Here is a 19,587-nt window from a genome sequence, read left to right on the forward strand (position 1 = left end):
AATGATCAGTGGTTTCCAGGGGTTCAGGAGAAGAAGGGATGAATAGGTGGAGAACAGGAGATTTTTAGGGCTGTAAAACTATTCTGTATGATAATGTAATGGTGAATACTTGTGACACATTTGTCAAAACCTATAGAATGTACAACACAAAAAGTGAACTTTAATGTCAACTATGGACTTTAGTTTATAATGATATATCAATATTGGCTCATCAACTATAACAAATGTACCACGCTAATGCAAGATGTTAATAATAAGGGAAAGAAGTGGTGGGAGGCAGTGAAGTGTATATTGGAAGTGTCTGTACTTTCTGCTCAATTTTTTTGTAAACCTAAAACTACTCAAAAGTAAAATGTATTAATTAAAGTGTGGTGTGTGTGTGTGTAAGCAGGGCATTCTGAGAAAATATCTTTCTGGAAGTGCATCTAGTAATTTTTTCCCCCTAATTCATATCTGAAACACATACAAATAAACAGTGAATGTTGTAGGAAATTAGAAGATAGACCACTATCTTGGGAAAGATAACAATGCAAGAGAAGAATTCCTTTATTTTAAGATGGTTATTTCAATTAATTATTTTATATATTGAGCACCTGCAGGGGTAGGCACTAGACATAAAGGCCAACAGCAGGTCTCTGTGCTTGATGAGCTCAGTGCCTGTCATGGGGAAGACAGACACACAGATGCACTACTAGATAATAACATTATCAGTGCTGACCATGTGCTGGGCTCTTTCTAAGCATTCCACCCACATTGTCTCTCAACCATACAACAACCCTGCACACAGGCACTAATAATCTACTTTACAGACAAGGACCCTAAAGCTCTAGAAAGTGAGTTAACTTTGCTGCAATAAATGGCAGAGCCCAGGTGTGTTGACCTGCAAACAGTTTGTCAGAAACTGCCAAACTGTCTTCCAAAGTGGCTGTAAAAATCAATTCATTTTGGAAGAAGAGGACAATCAGTGATACATTTGCTTAGATGTTTCTTTCACATTATTTGAAAGCGTTGAACTTCAAATACATTCACAAATCTTAATATCTGGTTCTCCCTCTTCCATTCTTGCCTTACTCCCACTGGAATAAATTCTTTGGCTTGTCATCCTCCCAACTTCAGGACAATCAAATACATATGGCTTAATGGGAAGGTGGTCAGATTAGAAAATATTCACAGCCAATCTCTCCAGTAGGCAGCCCTTGTTTGGCTTAAAACTGCCCGTTGAATTCAAGTTTCTTACATGTTCCACAACTATGATTGTAAAAGTCAAGGCAGCAGGCACCAGCCTGTGTGGAAGAAAGTTATATTTAGTATTCCTTTCGGAGCTGTCTCTTTGGATATCGTGGAGATTCTGGTACAGGCTGTTACTGTTTGAGGGCTTCTGGGCCTGTGGCAGAGAAGGAGTGGGTGGTTTGCTGACAGTTCTTATAAATACCCCCAGTATTTATTTAATGGCAGAAACACACAGAGAGAACACACAGAGTATTAGAGGAGAGAACATAGCTTAGCTCCATTCATCCCCTGGGCCCAGGACCAAGCACTTCTAATCTGTTCTGAGGAACTGCTTCTGGGGCCAGCTGCAGCCCTGTGTCTGGGGGAAGTCACCTGCCTGCTTGCTGAAGGAGGAAGGAAGGAAGGAACAGGGAACAATGAGGCCCTTGTAAAAGCCAAGTTTTGCTTTTTTTTTTTTTTTTAAGTTTATTTTCTAACCATATCACTCTTCTGCTTAAAACCTTTCAGTAGCTTTCCACTGTTTCTGGAATAAAGGTCAAAAGTCCTAATATGATGAGAAAGGTTCTGTAGGGCCTGGCCAAAGCCTGACTCTTCAGCCTAATCTCTCCCCACTTTCCCATTCATTAACATTCCTCAAACATAATCCACACTCTGCCCACCTCAGGCCTGTACATGCTATTCTCTCTGCTCAAAGGCTTTTCTCTCCACTGGCACTCAGTTAATTCTAACTCATTCCTCAATTAAAACCTCATTTCCACAAGCTGAACTTTAGCATCATCAGAAAAATGTTTCCTGATGCTTCACAGGAATCCTCCACACTTTGTCAAATGCCTCCAGAACTCCTTATGCTTTGCATTGATTCAAGTTTTTTATTTTATTTTATTTATTTATTTATTTATTTATTTATTTATTTATTTATTTACTTACTTACTTACTTACTTACTTACTTATGTGAGACGGAGTCTTGCTCTGTTGCCCAGGCCAGAGTGCAATGGCACGATCTCAGCTCACTGCAACCTCCACCTCCCAGGTTTAAGCGATTCTCCTGCCTTAGCCTCCTGAGTAGCTGGGATTACAGGCACGTGCCACCACGCCTGGCTAATTTTGTATTTTTAGTAGAGACGGGGTTTCTCCATGTTGGTCAGGCTGGTCTCGAACTTCTGACCTCAGGTGATCCACTCACCTCGGTCTCCCAAAGTGCTGGGATTACAGGTGTTAGCCACCGAGTCTAGACTTTTTTTTTTTTTTTTTGAGACAGAGTTTTGCTCTTGTTGCCCAGGCTGGAGTGCAATGGCTCGATCTTGGCTCACCACAACCTCCACTTCCCAGGTTCAAGTGATTCTCCCGCCTCAGCCTCCCGAGTAGCTGGGATTACAGGCATGAGCCACCACGTCCAGCTAATTTTGTATTTTTAGTAGAGACGGGGTTTCTTCATGTTGGTCAGGCTGGTCTGAACTCCCGATCTCAAGTGATTTGCTGCCTCAGCCTCCCAAAGTGCTGGGATTACAGGCATGAGCCACCATACCCGGCTGATTCAAGTTTGTAATGGTGTATTTGTTTGATTATTTAAGCAATGTCTGTCTCTTCATTCCCATCCTGCTTGCCTTTTTAATCCCAGAGCCAATTCATAGATTCGTAGTAAATATGCCTGCTATATAGTAAAAGTTTCATAAATATTTATTAAATAAATTAATAAACAAATAGAGTAATCATTTGAGCTCTTAAATATTTAGTTTTTAATAGAGGGAGTAAGAAAGATTCCCATATTTTTCCCTCATCCTCAGTTCTTAGCAGTGAGGTCTTAGTCTGAAGATACGTGCCTCAGAAGCTGGCCAATAGAAGAGGTAAGAGAAGCCAGAGTGGACTCTGCTGAGAATTTGGCCACCAAGCAGTCATCTCCCTTAGAACTGTGCTCTCCAACATGGTAGCTATTAGCCCCATAATAGGTGGCTATTTAAATTCAAACTATTTAGAATTTTAGCTTATCAGTCTTATCAACCACATTTTGCACACTCACACATGGCCAGTAGCTACCATATTGAATAATGCAAATAGAGAACATTCCCTTTATCACAGGAAAATGTATTGAAGAGTGCTGCTCTGGAATAGAAAATACCCTCTTCTGCACAGAGCATAGGATTCTCAGCAGGGTGACAGAAGAGAGCCCATTTTCCCCTCTGCTTTCAAATCAGGAGATGGGGGAGAGACCCTGCATCTATTACTACATTTGTTTCTATCACATAGAATTGTAGGTGCTGCAGCTGAAGGTGCTTTATTGCAAATAAAACCACTAAATGCTTCCAAATACAGGGTTGTTGTGAAGATTAAATTAGTTACAACCCATGTTCAGGCCCTTAGTTGGCTCTCAATAAATGTTAGCCATTTTGCAATACTCATCATGTGAATGAAAAAACAAAAAAAAAAATTTAAATTTAAAAAGTTGGGCACGCCTGTAATCTCAGCACTTTGGAAGGCTAAGGTGGGAGGACTGCTTGAGCCCAGAAGTTTAAGATCAGCCTGAGCAACATAGTGAGACCCCTGTCTATACAAAATTTTTTTTAAAAAATTAGCTGGGGCTGGGTGCAGTGGCTCATACCTGTAATCCAAAAACTTTGGGAGACCAAGGTGGGTGGATCATTTGAGGTCAGGAGTTCGAGGCCAGCCTGGCCTACATGGTGAAACCCTGTCTCTACTAAAAGTACCAAAAAAGTTAGCCGGGCATAGTGGAGCACCTGTAATCCCAGCTACACGAGGGCGGAGGCAGGAGAATCGCTTGAACCCAGGAGGTGGAGGTAGCAGTGAGCTGAGATCACACCACTGCACTCCAGCCTGGGCAACAGAGTGAGACTGTGTCTCAAAAAAAAAAAAAAAAAAATTAGCAGGGCATGGTGGTGCATGCCTGTAGTCTAAGCCACTCGGGCAGCTTAAGTGGGAGGATCACTTGAGCCGGGGAAGTCGAGACTGCAGTGAGCTGTAATTGTGCCACTGCATTCCAGCCTGAGTGACAAAGCAAAGCTTTGTCTCAAAAAATTAATTAATTAAATAAATAAAAAGTAAATAGATGGTAGCCACAATTGTTATTGGCTGAAAACCAAAGTGTTAAGTGCAGAATAGACTCTGGTGAAAATAATCTAACTTCTCTGAGCCTCAGGTTCCTCATCTGTAAAATGAGAACAGCTTTTTCTATCCTGGTAGGATTACATAGCGTGTTTTGCAAAAAGGGGTTATCACAGTACCTAACATGCAGTAGGTTCTCCAAAACCGTTAGCTCTTCTTTTTTTTTTTTGAGACAGAGTCTCGCTCTGTTGCCTAGGCTGTGGTGCAGTGGTGCAATCTCGGCTCACTGCAATGTCCGCCTCCCGGGTTCAAGCAATTCTCCCGCCTCAGCCTCCCGAGTAGCTGGGATTACAGATGCCCACCAACATGCCCAGCTAATTTGTGTATTTTTAGTAGAGACGGAGTTTCACCATGTTGGCCAGGCCAGTCTCGAACTCCTGACCTCAGGTGATCCACCCACCTCAACCTCTCAAAGTGCTGAGATTACAGATGTGAGCCACCGCGCCTGGCCAACTCTTGTTGTTTTATTATTGGTGGACGCTATATCAAATTTGACTTTCTCATGAATCACCTCAGAAATTGGATTCCAGCTGTTAAAACATTCCAGGTGTGTGTTTTAAGATGTACGGATGTGGCTAGTAGTGCTAACTTCCTGAAGCTTTCATTTGGTTTTGCTGAGGGCTAGCAACCCAACCTGTAAGTCAAATTGTTGGCATGAGTTAAATTTCCTTTGGTCCCACCCATATTTCTCAGTGCCCATTACTTCTCACTAGGCCAAGAAGTGCCTGGCAAATGCTATATGTCAGAATTGTGCTAAAAAGTGTTGTTCATTTTAAACAACTGAACTTCTAATTTTTCCATTTGACCTTAACTAGGTTTCTCTAATGTCTCCTGTCAAATCTTCTGGCTCTGTTATCTTCCAAATTTTAGATTTGTTTCCGTAAAGCAACCAAATTCCAAACAGGATATGTATGTTTGTATTTGGAGGGTGGAGAGTGGGAAAAGAAGGAGGAAGGGAAATGATGTTTAATCTGATGTCAGGTTAAAACTAACAGAGAGTAAGCAGGGGTGGCAGAAGGCGACTCCTAATACTTACTGAAAATGCACCGTTTGCCAAATACTGTTTTAAGCACTTATTTTTTTCTTATCAACCTTCTTTTCCTCCTTTTTTGTTTAATTTTTAATTCAAATTAATATATGTGCATGGCTAAAATGTTATTACATGTGCATGGTTTAAAATGTAATTGTAGTTAAACTGTTCATTTTTTTTTTTTTTTTTTGAGACAGAGTCTCACTCTGTCGCCCAGGCTGAGTTCAGTGGCATGATCTTGGCTCACTGCAACCTCCACCTCCCAGGTTCAAGCAATTCTCCTGCCTCAGCCTCCCAAGTAGTTGGGATTACAGGCACAGGCCATCAAGCCCAGCTAATTTTTGTATTTTTATTAGAGACAGAGTTTCACCATGTTGGTCAGGCTGGTCTCGAACTCCTGACCTCAAGTAATACGCCCGCCTTGGCCTCCCAAAGTGCTGGGATTACAGGCATGAGCCCCCATGCCCAGCCAAACTGTTCAAATTTTAAATGTATTTTTATCCAGAAAATATGAATGACAGTAAATGTAAAAAAATCTAAAAATTATTTTTCACATAAAGTTCTCTTTCTTTTAAAATATTCAAAATGATCTATCAAAACTCAATGGCAAATGAAGTGGTTAGTCACTCTCAGATTTTTAGTCAAAGATCTTTAAATAAAGCTGAACATATTATTAGCTTTTTACAAATTTGAATGAAGGTTTTTTTTGTTTTGTTTTTGAGAAGGAGTTCCGCTCTTGTCGCCCAGGCTGGAGTGCAGTGGGACGATTTCGGCTCACGGCAACCTCTGCCTCCCGGGTTCAAGCGATTCTCCTGCCTCAGCCTCCCAAGTAGCTGGGATTACAGGCATGCGCCACCACACCCGGCTAATTTTTTTTGTATTTTTAGTAGAGAGAGGGTTTCTCCATGTTAGTCAGGCTGGTCTCAAACTCCCGACCTCAGGTCATTCGTCCGCCTCAGCCTCCCAAAGTGCTGGGATTACAGGCATGAGCCACCCTGCCCCACCATGAAGGCTGTTTTCTAAGAATGTTTAGTCTTTGCATTCAATGTTCACGTATTTGCTAAAGAATCCATGTCATGCTTCCCATATGTAATATTTAGATCTCTATATATACAAATGTGAGGGTAAAATGAATTTATACTACGAAATGTTTCTCAGCCACTCTGTGCACGTTAGTGAACACTGCGCTAATTCATGAGGATCTTCAGAACCATGAATTGGAATACAAAGAGAAGCAAAAAAATCGGCTGCTTGGCACTCTGGGAAACAATACTTTGTTATGCAAGAATCTTTTGCATTCATGCTAAGAAGGAGGATTTGACAAGTTAATTAATTTGTCTTTTCTCTTACCTAAGTACTCCTGCCACTCAAATTCTTTCTGCACTCCAAAGCCATGCCTCTTTCACCAAAAAACTTCTCAGCATTCCAATGCGGGTGCCTTTTGTTTTGAGGATCTAGGGCAAGGGAATATGCTGGAAGTGCGTCTGCCCGGGGCTTGCAGATTGTTAGGCAGAAGGGTGAATGTCTAGGTTTACAAGGTCGCCCTGTCTAGAACTCATACCAACTGACACTAACACCACCACCCCCATCTCACAACTCACACACCTTTTTTTTTGAGACGGAGTCTCGCTCCGTCGCCCCGGCACAATCTCAGCTCACTGCAACCTCCGCCTCTCGGGCTCAAGGGATTCTCCTGCTTCAGCCCCTTGACTAGCTGGATTACAGGGTGCCCGCCACCACGCCCGGCTATTTTTTTTTGTATTTTTAGTAGAGGCAGGGTTTTGCCATGTTGGTCAGGCTGGTCTGGAACTCTTGAACTCCAGTGATCCACCAGCCTAGGCCTCCTAAATTGCTGGGATTATAGGCGTGAGCCTCCACACCCGGCTTCACACATCTTTTTTTTTTTTAGTGTTTATGACATGAGGAGCTCTCTAGACTATGCGACCCGGCATAGGATTCCTCTTGCCTGAGTTTAAGAGTGATCCCGCTTTAAAAAAAGAGTTAAGGCTGGGAGCGGTGGGTGGCTCAGGCCTGTAATCCCAGCACTTTGGGAGGCCGAGACGGGCGGATCATTTGAAATCAGGAGTTTGAGACCAGCTTGGCCAACATGATGAAATCTTGTCTCTACCAAAAATACAAAAAAATTAGGCGGGCATGGTGGCACACACCTGTAATCCCAGCTACTCAAGGGGCTGAGGCAGGAGAATCGCTTGAACCCTGAAGGTGGAGTTTGCAGTGAGCTGAGATCCTGCTGCTGCACTCCAGCCTGGGCAACAGAGTGAGACTGTGTCTCAAACAAACAAACAAACAAACACACAAACAAAATAGAGTTAAAAGACTGGGCGCGGTGGCTCATGCCTGTAATCCCAGCACTTTGCGAGGCCCAGGAGTGTGGATCACTTGAGGTCAGGAGTTCGAGACCAGCCTGGCCATCATGGTGAACTCTCGTCTCTACTAAAAATACAAAAATTAGCCGGGCATGATGGCAGGCGCCTGTAGTCCCAGCTACTCGGGAGGCTGAGGCAGGAGAATTGCTTAAACCCAGGAGGCAGAGGTTGCAGTGAGCCAAAATAGTGCCACAGCACTCCAGCTTGGGTGACTGAGTGAGACACTGTCTCAAAAGAAAAAAAATAAGAGTTAAAGAACAATCATTAAAGGGATACAAATAATATTCTTTAAAAGCACTACAGTGAACTTACAGTAAAAACTGAGCTATACTGGCTGGGAGCCATGGCTCATGCCTATAATCCCAGCACTTTGGGAGGCCCAGGAGGGTGGATTACCTCAGGTCAGGAGTTCAAGACCAGCCTGGCCAAGATGGCGAAACCCTGTCTCTACTAAAAATACAAAAATTACCCAGTCATGGTGGTAGGCACCTATAATCCCAGCTACTTGGGAGGCTGAGGCTGGAGAACCACTTGAACCCCGGAAGCAGAGGTTGCAGTGAGCCAAGAACACTCACTGCACTCTAGTCTGGGTGACAGAGCAGAACTCTGTCTCAAAAAAAAAAAAAAGAAAAGAAAAAAAAAGAAAGAAAAAAAATTTGAGCTATGGGGTCAGAGTCGTGCTATAAGGCACTCCCTTTACTCCAAATATTTAACACTGATAGATAAAAAATAAAATATAAAGAGAAAATTATTAAGATATGGTGACTGTTGCCTCATGCTATCTTCAGTAATTAGATGAGAAGCAACAGGGCCCTAAATATAAAAGATGCGAGCAATAAAACTCAAATAACACATAAGAGAATATCTCCACAACCATGGCTTAGGAACAGCGTTTTTAAACAAGACACAAAAGCACTACTATGAAATGGTAATTGTATTGATAAATCAGGCTTTAATAAAAGTAAGGGCTTCTGTTAATTAAAGGACACTATTTACAGAGTGAAAAAGCAGCCAGGTACGGTAGCTTGTGCCTATAGTGTCACAAAAAGACAGACAACCAATTTTAAATTGGGGAAAAGATCTGAACAGGCATTTAGTTCACAAAAGAGGTATTCAAAATGCCAATAAGCAAATGAAGTTTTAAAAAGCATTCAACATTATAATGTATTAGCCACAAATAGATATCACCAAAATGGCAAAAACTAAAGAGATTGGTAATGCCAAAATTGATTTGAGGATTTGCCCAGTCTTACTTTCTTTCTTCCTTTCTCTCTCTGTCTCTTTTTTTTTTTTTTTTTTTTTTTTTTTGAGACAGAGTCTTGCTCTGTCACCCAGGCTGGAGTGCAGTGGTGCAATCTCAGCTCACTGCAACCTCCGCCTCCAGGGTTGAAGCAATTCTCCTGCCTCAGCCTCCTGAGTAGCTAAGATTACAGGCGCCTGCCACCGCGCCCGGCTAATTTTTGTATTTTTAGTAGAGACGGGGTTTCAGCATGTTGGTTGGGCTGGTCTTGAACTCCTGACCTCAAGTGATCCGCCTGCCTCGGCCTCCCAAAGTGCTGGGATTACAGGAGCGAGCCACTGTGCCTGGCCACTTTCTTTTTGTTTTTGAGACAGTCTCCTTCTGTCACCCAGGCTGGAGTGCAGTGGTGCAATCTTGGTTCATTGCAACCTCTGCCTCCTGGGCTCAAGTGACTACCTGAGTAGCCGGGATTACAGGTGCAAGCCACCATGCCCAGCTAATTTTTGTATTTTTAGTAGAGATGTGATTTCATCATATTGGTCAGCCTGGTATCAAACTCCTGGCCTCAAGTGATCCATCTGCCTCGGCCTCCCAAAGCGTTGGGATTACAGGTGTAAGCCACCATGCCCAGCCAACACTGTCATTTTTATACACTGGGGATAGGAGTTTAAACTGGTATGATCACTTAGCAAAACTGGAAGTATCTATTAAAGCTGTAATACATTTTTGCTATGATTCAGCAACCATACCCCTAGGTATATGCCCTGGAGGAATGAGTGCATATGACTACAAGAAGGCATTTAAGAATAGTCATAATGGTGGGCCGGGCGTGGTGGCTCATGCCTATAATCCCAGCATTTTGGGAGGCCGAGGCGGGTGGATCACCTGAGGTCAGGAGTTCGAGACCAGCCTGACCAATATGATGAAACCCCATCTCTACTAAAAATTAGCCAGACGTGGTGTCAGGTGCCTATAATCCCAGCTATTGGGAGGCTGAGACAGGAGAATTGCTTGAACCCAGGTGGCGGAGGTTGCAGTGAGCCGAGATTGCACCACTGTACTCCAGCCTGGGCAACAAGAGTGAAACTCCGTCTCATAAGAAAAAAAAAAGAACAGTCATAACAACTTTATTCATAATAGTAAAAAACTAGAAATGTCTATCAACAAGAAAATGGGTAAATTGTGGTAGAGTCATACAGTGGAATACTATATGGCAATTTAAAAAAGTGACATGAGGCCAGGCATGGTGGCTCATGCCTATAAGGTGAGCACTTTGGGAGGCCGATGTAGGCAGATCACTTGAGCCCAAGAGTTCAAGACTAGCCTGGTCAACATGGTGAAACCTTGTCTCTACAAAAAATAAAAATTAGTCAGGTGTAGTAGCGCCTCCAGGTAGCCCCAGCTACTTAGGAGGTTGAGGTGGGAGGACTGGTTGAGCCCTGGATATTAAGGGTGGAGTAAGCCATGATTGCACTACTGCACTCCAATCTTGGCGATCCAACCTAAGCAACAGTGTGAGATGCTGTTTCAAAATCTAACAAACAAGCAAACAAACAAAAAAAGTGACATGGCTACATGGAACAGCAGGATGGACTTTATAAACATAATATCTTTAAAAAGGAGGCCAGGAGTGGTGGCTCACGCCTGTAATCCCAGCACTTTGGGAGGCCGAGGTGGGTGGATCACCTGAGGTGAGGAGTTCAAGACCAGCCTGGCCAACATGGTGAAACCCTGTGTCTACTAAAAATACAAAAAAAAAAAAAAAAAAAAAAAAAAAATTAGCCAGGCATGGTGGCAGGCACCTATAATCCCAGCTACTTGGGAGGCTGAGACAGGAGAATTGCTTGAACCTGGGAGGCGGAGGTAGCAGAGAGCTGAGATTGCGCCGCTGTACTCCAGCCTGGGCAACAAGAGCAAAACTCCATCTAAATAAATAAATAAATAAATAAAATAAAAAGGAGCCCAACAACAAGAGTCCATGCTGTGTTATTTTTATATGAATTTTATGAATAGGCAAGACTATATAAGCCAGAATAGCAATTGTCTTAGGATGTTGATTAGAAGGGGGCAAAAGGAAGTCTTTTTTTTTTTTTTTGAGACGGAGTCTTGCTCTGTTGCCCATGCCGGAGTGCAGTGGCGTGATATGGGCTCACTGCAACATATGCCTCCCGGTTTCAAGCGATTCTCCTGCCTCAGCCTCCCAGGTAGCTGGGATTATAGGCGCATGCCACCACGCCTAGCTAATTTTTTGTGTTTTCAGTAGAGACGGGTTTTGCCATTTTGGCCATGCTGGTCTCGAACTCCTGACCTCAAGTGATCTGCCCGCCTTGGCCCCTCAAAGTGCTGGATTACAGGTGTGGGCCACTGTGCCCAGCCAGGAAGCCTTTCTAGCACTGGGGATGTTCTATATATATTGATCTGGCTGGTGAGGAATCAAGTGTATCCATATATAAAAATTCACTGAGCTGAACAATTAAAATTAGTGTACTTAACTAAAGCATATTGTCTTTTATTTTATTTATTTGCTTATTTTAGAAATAAGGTTTCACTCTATCCTCCCACACTGGAGGATAGCTCACTGCAACCTGGAACTTTTGGGTTCAAGCCATCTTCCTGCCTAACCCCCCAAGTAGCTGGGACTACAGGTATGTGCCCCCATTCTCAGGTAGCTTTTTTATTTTTTGTAGAGACCAGGTCTTGCTATATTGCCCAGGCTCATATTATCTTAAAAAAAAAAAAAAACTTGCTGAAAAAATAGAATAAATATTCCAGAACAGAAAGACAAAAACAGCTGAAGACACATATATATTGGGCTTTGTCTCCTTTTGTTTCTTTCGTTTTTCTTTCAGTGTGAAAAAATGCATAAAAGCTTATTTTAAAAAATTGATGTCAAATGCTATTTGGAGTAGAAGATGTCATTTTTCTTTACAAGCTAATAAAAATATTAAACTCAACCTAGCCAAATATAATGCACATTTGTTGGCAGGTGTTTCAACTACTACAGATTAAGGCCTTCCCTGAGTAGAAGACTAGCTAAGTAGTGGTTTAGATCCTTCCGGAAAGAACTGCTGAAGGATGTGTTTAGCAAGAAAAAAAGCCAATGTAGAGTGAAGGAGTATATTGAGCATGGGAATCATTAAAATACATTGGAAATGTTAATGATCTATTGATTGCATGTTGTGGGCTGAATTGTGTCCCTCCAAAATTCATATATTGAAATTCTAATCCCTAGTACTTCAGAATGTGACTGTATTTTGAGATTGTCTTTAAAGAGGTAGTTAAGGTTAAATGAGGTCATTAAGGTGGGCCCTAATCCCATATGACTAGCATCCCTAGAAGAAGAGATGAGAACACAGAAACACACAGAGAGAAGATCACATGAAAACACCGGAGAAAAACCACCATCCACAAGCCAAGGAGAGAGGCCTCAGAAGAAACCAATCTTGCTGTCACCTTGATCTTGGGTTTTTAGCCTCCAGAATTCTGAAGAAATAAATTTCTGTGTTTAAGCCACCCAATCTGTGGTACTTTCTTATGGAAGCCCTAGCAAACTTATATACTGTGGTAAAATCAGAAGTCAGTTTGTGTCATAAAAATGTAGATAAAAAATTATAGACAATAACAAAAAAGATGGGAGCATTTGGTGAGTACTTCTATACTAACATCTTGCTTGATTTTTAACTATGTAGGATAAACACATGTCCTTTCCTAGAAATGAGACCCTGGCAGAGTTGAGTAGTTGTGAGAGACCGCGTCCCACAAAGCCTCAAATATCTTCATCTAGCCTTTAACGGTGAAAGTTCACTTGATCCTTCTCCATGGGTTTATTTTGCAAACATCAAAAAACATGACCAAAGATACACTTCCGTACATATTTACTTCTGGGGTGGGCAGGCAATTGGGAAATGAGATAAAGAGAGATATAAAAGAGCAGTCTTTAATTACATATTTATTATATATGTTTATGGAAAATGAAAACATTAAAAATCTGGTTGGTGAATATACAAATATATTACTTTATTTTTCAATATGTTTGAAATATTTTATAACAATATAAAACTATTGTGGTTTTGAAGGGATATAATGTTACTATACTGAACAATCGTCATTTTTCTTTGTTTTTCTTAGCCAAAGCATTTGCTGATGTATAGCACCTATTTTATACATTGGAACACACTACTCTGTGCTTTGATTTTAGGCTTAAAAGGTCAGTGGCAGTGTGCTCAGCCAATCAGGAATTAGGATTAAGGAATTGAAGCCTTTTATACTAAAGGCTTCCCTTATAAGGGGACCCTAAATTAGAAAACCTGTTTTGAGAAAGATTTTTTCCCTAATTTGTGAAACTATATATATGAATGTTTTTATATATTTAGGGAATTAGAATCCCTCAGGTTTATTTTAAACAATTATCTGGCACTAACAGGAATACAATTTATGATGTTCATATCATTCCAGAAAATCTAGGTCACACCAAAGTCGGTTCTTTGGAAATTTGATTTCCTTATATAATTTTCAAGGTGCTTGAAACAATAAATTCTCATGTGCTGCTTTGGAAAAGTAGAAAGTCATTTAGCCTGAATTCAGAAGAAAGCCGACTTTATTTCTTTTACTTACATTGTACTTTCATTGTAAATGGTAAGTAAACTGGTGAAATAAGTATGCGTTAATATTTAAAACAGAAAGCAATATAAAAAAACCCCTCTGTCTTTACAAGGGCAAGGCTTAGCCAAATATACTTAGGTCTATTCATATTAATAATAGAAGATTGTTACTAAGGATAACTAAGAATTAAAATAAATAAGGTTGGGTAGTGCAGTGGCTCATGGCTGTAATCCCAACACTTTGGGAGGCCCAGGCAGGAAGACTGCTGAGGCCAGGAGTGAGAGACCAGTCTGGGCAACATATTGAGACCTTGTTTCTAATAAAAATTGGAAAAAAAAAAAAAAGTAGCCGAGTGTGGTGGCACATGTCTGTAGTCCCAGCTACTTGGGAGGCTCAGGTAGGAGGATTACTTGAGCCCAGGAGGTCGAGGCTGCAGTGTGCCTTGATCATAACACAGCACTCCAGCTTGGGTGACAGAGCTAGACCCTGCCTCAAAAAGAAAAAAAAAAAGGTTGAATAAAATAGCACTAATGGCGCTGGGCATGGTGGCTCACGCCTGTAATCTCAACACTTTAGGAGGCCAAGGCGGGTGAATCACGAGGTCAGGGGTTCGAGACCAGCCTGGCCAACATGGTGAAATCCTATCTCTACCAAAAATATAAAAAATCAGCTGGGCGTGATGGTGGGCGCCTGTAATTCCAGCTACTCGGGAGGCTGAGGCAGGAGAATCGCTTGAACCCAGGAGATGGAGGTTGCAGTGAGCCGAGATAGCGCCACTGCACTCCAGCCCAGGCGACAAAGCGAGGCTCTGTCTCAAAAAAAAAAGAAAGCACTAATGGTATTTGGGGCATGGTTAAGATTCACACTGGAAATGATTTAATTCATAAATGCTTGAAAACTAGGGAAGGGGATTTTATGTTTCCTCATCCTAGGATTCATTTATTATTTTCAAAACTTTTTTCCTAGGAGGATTTATTTTATTTAATTTAAAATAAATGTTCAGTAATTATAGCCACTTCCCTCAGAGGAAGGTTGGCCCAAGGAGCCCCACTTAGGCATTGACATGTCTCTTTATTTTACACTCATATCCAACTGCTGTTTCTAAAAGCAGGTGTCTGGGAAGAATGTCAGTCATGGTCCATGTACTGGGCCAAACCTGCACTTTGACCACTTGATCTGTACCCTTACAGTCTGTGCCTTTACTGGGGATAATTTCAATCCATCTGTGGGATTCAGGGTTACTGGTACATTACAGAAGCTGTATAGCCTTGGTAGGAAGGAATATGGCAAGAAACTCTGCTAGATGATATAACAATAGATGGCCACAAAACTTGCCTTTTTTAGGAAGGCATCTCTGAGCAAGGAATACCAGATGAATAGGGTTAGCCATGCTGTTTGGTGGAGGGTATCCACATAGTACAGCAAATGCAAAGGCCCTGAGGTAGGAAAGCATTTCCTGAGTTTGGCTGAAGTATACTGCAGCACCAGGGAGAATGGGAAGGGGTGGACCTTATCAACTTCTTGTTATATAATCTCGTGTTCTGAAGTTGAAATTTTATTTTATTGCTATGTACCTTTTTAAATCTTTCCCTTACTTTTGAATTTCCCATGCATTTATTGAACATATACAAAATTGTGCTTATATGTCAATGTGAGTTTGTTTTTAACATAAATGGTATTATGCTGCACTGAGATTTATTCAACAGTGTTTCTTAGAGATCTATGTTATTATATTTTTATAAAGGTCATTGTGTATAACAGGTATAAAATATTCTGTTGTGTGAATATACCACAAGTAACCTCCAGTGGTCAGCCTGCCTCTACCATGCCCACTCTCCAAGCTTTTATTTTCTGAATGTAGCTTCTTTACCTCAGTAAGTGGTAAATACTTTGTAAATGAAAACATTGCCTTTTATTTTCTTGGTAGTTATTTCTTAAAAGTACTGTGTGCACAGAAAGAGCACACTGAATGCTTACAACAACCTAATTATGGAAAAGCAATAAGCCTCCTGAATCCTTTGCCCTTGAAATTTCCTTGCCTGGTGCTCATAACACACTTTGAATAGGTCTTGAAACCACGGGCCTTCAGCCTAAGGCAGTATGTCATCTGGGTACTCTGAGCAGGGAAATAATGAAAAATAATGTTCAGTTAATGGCACAAGCCATTCGCCACTCAGACAGTGATGGTTTTCAGAGTGGATTGAAAGGAGATTGGCTACTTCTGCTTCAAAACATCCTGGAAATTGTCTGCCTCCTGAATTCTGAGGGACGCTTGGGAGGAGGAGTTGATAGGTGACTTAATGTTAAATCTGGGTTCCCTCCCCCAATTGTCACTGTGAAAATTTTCAAACATACAGAAAAGTTGAAAGAATTGCGCACTGTGCCCATTACCTAGACTCTATTATATGGACCCCTATTTGCTTTATCATATCTCTGTTCATCCACCCTTTACCCATGCATGGAGGCATCCATACATCTTATTTTTGATGTATCTCAAAGTACAAAGAGCACCATTAGAGTTCAATGCTTGTGATTTTTCTTTTTTTAAAAATTTTTGAGGCAACATTTATATCCAGTGAAATGTACAGATCTCAAGTGGATCATTCCATCAGTTTGACAAATGCCTGCAAGGTGGAACCCAAGCTCTTATTAGTATCTGTTAAATCCATGTTAGAGGTTGATCAGAGAAGCACAGCCTTTAAGACTCTCACCCTGCTTTGCGGAGAATGGCAAAAATCTGCGAAACATCTCAGCAGAGCCAGGAGAGAGTAACACTGGTAACGTGAAGCACGTCAAGCTAAGAAAGGAAGCACTGAAATTAATTGTCCTGAATGGAACCTGATAAGAATCTGCCATTTCATCCCCTCAAGACTGGACTCAAGTTGGGAGAGAATATTGCCTTTTGCCCTGTCTAAGCTAATATCACTGTTTAGATCTACAAACTCCCCCACCTCCCAATGTTTATATATTAACCTGCATTACAAGTCAAAATAACACAGAGAATCTGGAAAAAGAAGAAGGGGAATGTTTCCCACGAAAAGCACACCCCTTAAAGCGTCTGGCCTGAGAGCTATACAGCATGCATAAAATCTGATAATAAGCACATTATGACCCACATTGCATATAACAAAAAGTAGGGCACTTCTGAAGGGTCCTGAGAAAAAGCCCTGGGCTTTTAAAACCTGCTTAAGAAGGCGATCAACGGTACACCACTTTCAAACGCAGCACTGACTTGTATGCTCCACAGTCATCAACAGTGAAAACAACAGTTTTCAACAAGAGTTGGAAACACTGAGTTGAGGGTTTTTTTTTTCTTTTTAAAGTTTGAGGCCAAAATCGATATTTATTCTTTTGAATTATGCTTATATCTTTTTCCTGGTTAATACGCACGCGGTGGCACAATTTTGAAAACTACGTAACGTTATAGAACCACCACCCAGAAACGAATCCTGTTAACAAACTTTTTGTATTCAAACTTTTTCCACTGCATAGTTTTTGACAATGCTTTTTAGACAATCTTTCTTTTAGCAACCAGCACTTTCAAACAAAAATTACAGAGAATAGTAAGTTTTTTTCCCCTCCTCCGGCAGATTTGACCCAGAAATTGCTATGGGAAGAAAGTGTTAATTATATTAAAAAATAGTTTGACAGAAAGTATTTAAAAAGAGAAAGGGAGAACATCACGTCTTTATTTTGGTGAATTAGCAACAAAGAAAAAGATTAGCATGGACGGGTACTTTTCAAAAATATATTTTTTTTCCTCTGGCTCCCGCTAGGGTGGAGGAAGTTGTCTCTCTGTCAGAGACAGGGTGGAAGAGAGTGAAAGGACAAATGATTGAGAGGCTGCCCCCTCCCACTGGTGCAGGCGTGCGGGGGTCGGATGGGGGGCCGCGGAGGGGGGAGGTGGCCAGCAGGTGCCTGGGCTCCAGGCCCCTACCCCCACCCTCGTCCCCACCCTCACCCACACCCAGGGATTGGCCTCGCCCCCTGGCGGGCGAGCGGTAGGTGTCGAAGCACTGGGGTGGGGGGTGCAAACCCCGCGGGCAGCGGAAAAGAGGCCGTGGGGGGCCTCCCAGCGCTGGCAGACACCGTGAGGCTGGCAGCCGCCGGCACGCACACCTAGTCCGCAGTCCCGAGGAACATGTCCGCAGCCAGGGCGCGGAGCAGAGTCCCGGGCAGGAGAACCAAGGGAGGGCGTGTGCTGTGGCGGCGGCGGCAGCGGCAGCGGAGCCGCTAGTCCCCTCCCTCCTGGGGGAGCAGCTGCCGCCGCTGCCGCCGCCGCCACCACCATCAGCGCGCGGGGCCCGGCCAGAGCGAGCCGGGCGAGCGGCGCGCTAGGGGGAGGGCGGGGGCGGGGAGGGGGGTGGGCGAAGGGGGCGGGAGGGCGTGGGGGGAGGGTCTCGCTCTCCCGACTACCAGAGCCCGAGAGGGAGACCCTGGCGGCGGCGGCGGCGCCTGACACTCGGCGCCTCCTGCCGTGCTCCGGGGCGGCATGTCCGAGGCTGGCGGGGCCGGGCCGGGCGGCTGCGGGGCAGGAGCCGGGGCAGGGGCCGGGCCCGGGGCGCTGCCCCCGCAGCCTGCGGCGCTTCCGCCCGCGCCCCCGCAGGGCTCCCCCTGCGCCGCTGCCGCCGGGGGCTCGGGCGCCTGCGGTCCGGCGACGGCAGTGGCTGCAGCGGGCACGGCCGAAGGACCGGGAGGCGGTGGCTCGGCCCGAATCGCCGTGAAGAAAGCGCAACTACGCTCCGCTCCGCGGGCCAAGAAACTGGAGAAACTCGGAGTGTACTCCGCCTGCAAGGTACGCGCTCGCCGCTCTCGGACCGCGGATGGGTGCTAGGGGCCCAGCCCGCGGGACCCCCCTCCCCCTCCCGCTTCCACCTCCGCCTCCCGCCTCCTGCCTCTCGCCTCCCGCCTGGGGCCGCTGCACCGCGGAAGTGCTCTTGTCGCCCGCGCCCAATTAGCTTCTTCTTGGATAAGAGTCCTGCTGGGTTTGAAGAAGGGGGATCACTAAGACGGAGAGCCCTTCATTCCTTCCGCTTGAAAGGAGTAGCTTCGGCATCCGAGCTCCCGGGCTACCTTGGGGTTTTGTTGCTCTGTAGGAGCTCGCTGGAGTCACTTTCCCGGGAGTGGAGCGGTGCTCTCCATGTGGCGGGTGACCCAGGGGCAAGGAAAAATCTTTTGGGGGACTGAGTGGTCCCTTCTGCAATCGATCCCTTCCTGTGTCCCACTGGGAGGAACTGGGTGCAAGGAGTGGGGGTGGAGAAGACTCCCGGACTCCTGGCGCTTTGGGAAAGCGAAGGGGAGGAAAGCGCGGGGTGGGAAGGTGGGCAGAGTCCGAGGCGAGGGTCTTGTGGTGCCTGGCGCCCTCGGCTGGGGGCGGAGGCACTGCCGCGCGCGGTGACAGCCCTGTCATTATTGTATTATTACTTGTTTAGTTAAAACGCTGTCCCAGCTGCTCGAGGTGTAAACAGGATTTGGCAAAGTGACAGCCCAGCGCGGCGGGCGCTACTGCTCAGTTTGAGGACACCCATTTCTTGCTACCCACTCTCCATGCCAGTTTAGGCACCCTGTCACCTCCAGCTGCAGATCCAGATGTGGAGGCTGTGTTCCCGAGGTGGGAGGATTGCCCGAGGCCGCGGGGCAGGCTGGCCCTGCGCTGTCAGCAGCGGCTTTGTTTTGACAGGGTGACAGCTGAGGGGGGCGGGGACTTGGCCTTGTCAGCTCCTGCGGCCTGTGGCTGAGGCAGGGAAGAGACACACTCACACACACTCACACCTCCCTGTATTCTTCCTGCCTGCTGTAAAGAGGGTCAAGTTCCCAGATTCCAGATTCCCGATTGTCACAACCAAGCTGCAGTGACCACTTCTGAATTTTGACATAACTATAATTTATTCTACTAGAACATCTAGGTTATACTCTTCTTGGTACTTGCAGGAGCTTCTCAGTCACAATGGAATGTCTATGCTTGCTCTTTTTCCACACCA

General features: G+C 44.1%; 1 protein-coding gene across 3 annotated transcripts in view, besides 7 other annotated features; it reads left to right on the plus strand.

Moving 5' to 3' along the window:
• Nucleotides 481-928: a transcriptional cis regulatory region, noted in NCBI's record as "candidate enhancer chr3.1018 targeted for multiplex CRISPR interference". NCBI's record gives its function as "positively regulates KAT2B gene expression with high confidence in K562 cells {active_cell/tissue: K562}" and the evidence as "EXISTENCE:mutant phenotype evidence [ECO:0000015][PMID:30612741]".
• Nucleotides 17,329-17,968: a silencer, noted in NCBI's record as "silent region_14132". NCBI's record gives its function as "represses an Ori minimal core promoter by ATAC-STARR-seq in GM12878 lymphoblastoid cells {active_cell/tissue: GM12878}" and the evidence as "EXISTENCE:reporter gene assay evidence [ECO:0000049][PMID:35858748]".
• Nucleotides 17,329-18,662: a biological region, named in NCBI's record as "H3K27ac-H3K4me1 hESC enhancer GRCh37_chr3:20081563-20082533".
• Nucleotides 17,692-18,662: an enhancer, noted in NCBI's record as "H3K27ac-H3K4me1 hESC enhancer chr3:20081563-20082533 (GRCh37/hg19 assembly coordinates)". NCBI's record gives its function as "activates a minimal SCP1, AML or CMV promoter by ChIP-STARR-seq in naive H9 embryonic stem cells {active_cell/tissue: H9 hESC(naive)}" and the evidence as "EXISTENCE:reporter gene assay evidence [ECO:0000049][PMID:30033119]".
• The window catches only part of KAT2B (lysine acetyltransferase 2B), a 113,959-nt gene continuing 112,438 nt past the window's right edge, over nucleotides 18,067-19,587 (plus strand). For all 3 annotated transcript variants that reach the window (XM_047449147.1, NM_003884.5, XM_005265528.5), the window contains exon 1: nucleotides 18,067-18,401. Coding sequence is in view for 2 of the 3 variants with exons in the window: in NM_003884.5 (NP_003875.3) it covers nucleotides 18,099-18,401 (303 nt within the window). In the remaining variant the exon portion in view is untranslated. The remainder of the gene's footprint in view (nucleotides 18,402-19,587) is intronic.
• Nucleotides 18,139-18,268: a silencer, noted in NCBI's record as "silent region_14133". NCBI's record gives its function as "represses an Ori minimal core promoter by ATAC-STARR-seq in GM12878 lymphoblastoid cells {active_cell/tissue: GM12878}" and the evidence as "EXISTENCE:reporter gene assay evidence [ECO:0000049][PMID:35858748]".
• Nucleotides 18,469-18,528: a silencer, noted in NCBI's record as "silent region_14134". NCBI's record gives its function as "represses an Ori minimal core promoter by ATAC-STARR-seq in GM12878 lymphoblastoid cells {active_cell/tissue: GM12878}" and the evidence as "EXISTENCE:reporter gene assay evidence [ECO:0000049][PMID:35858748]".
• Nucleotides 19,379-19,568: an enhancer, noted in NCBI's record as "active region_19579". NCBI's record gives its function as "activates an Ori minimal core promoter by ATAC-STARR-seq in GM12878 lymphoblastoid cells {active_cell/tissue: GM12878}" and the evidence as "EXISTENCE:reporter gene assay evidence [ECO:0000049][PMID:35858748]".

Source organism: Homo sapiens, chromosome 3 (genome assembly GCF_000001405.40).
Source record: "Homo sapiens chromosome 3, GRCh38.p14 Primary Assembly".
Taxonomy (NCBI): domain Eukaryota; kingdom Metazoa; phylum Chordata; class Mammalia; order Primates; family Hominidae; genus Homo; species Homo sapiens.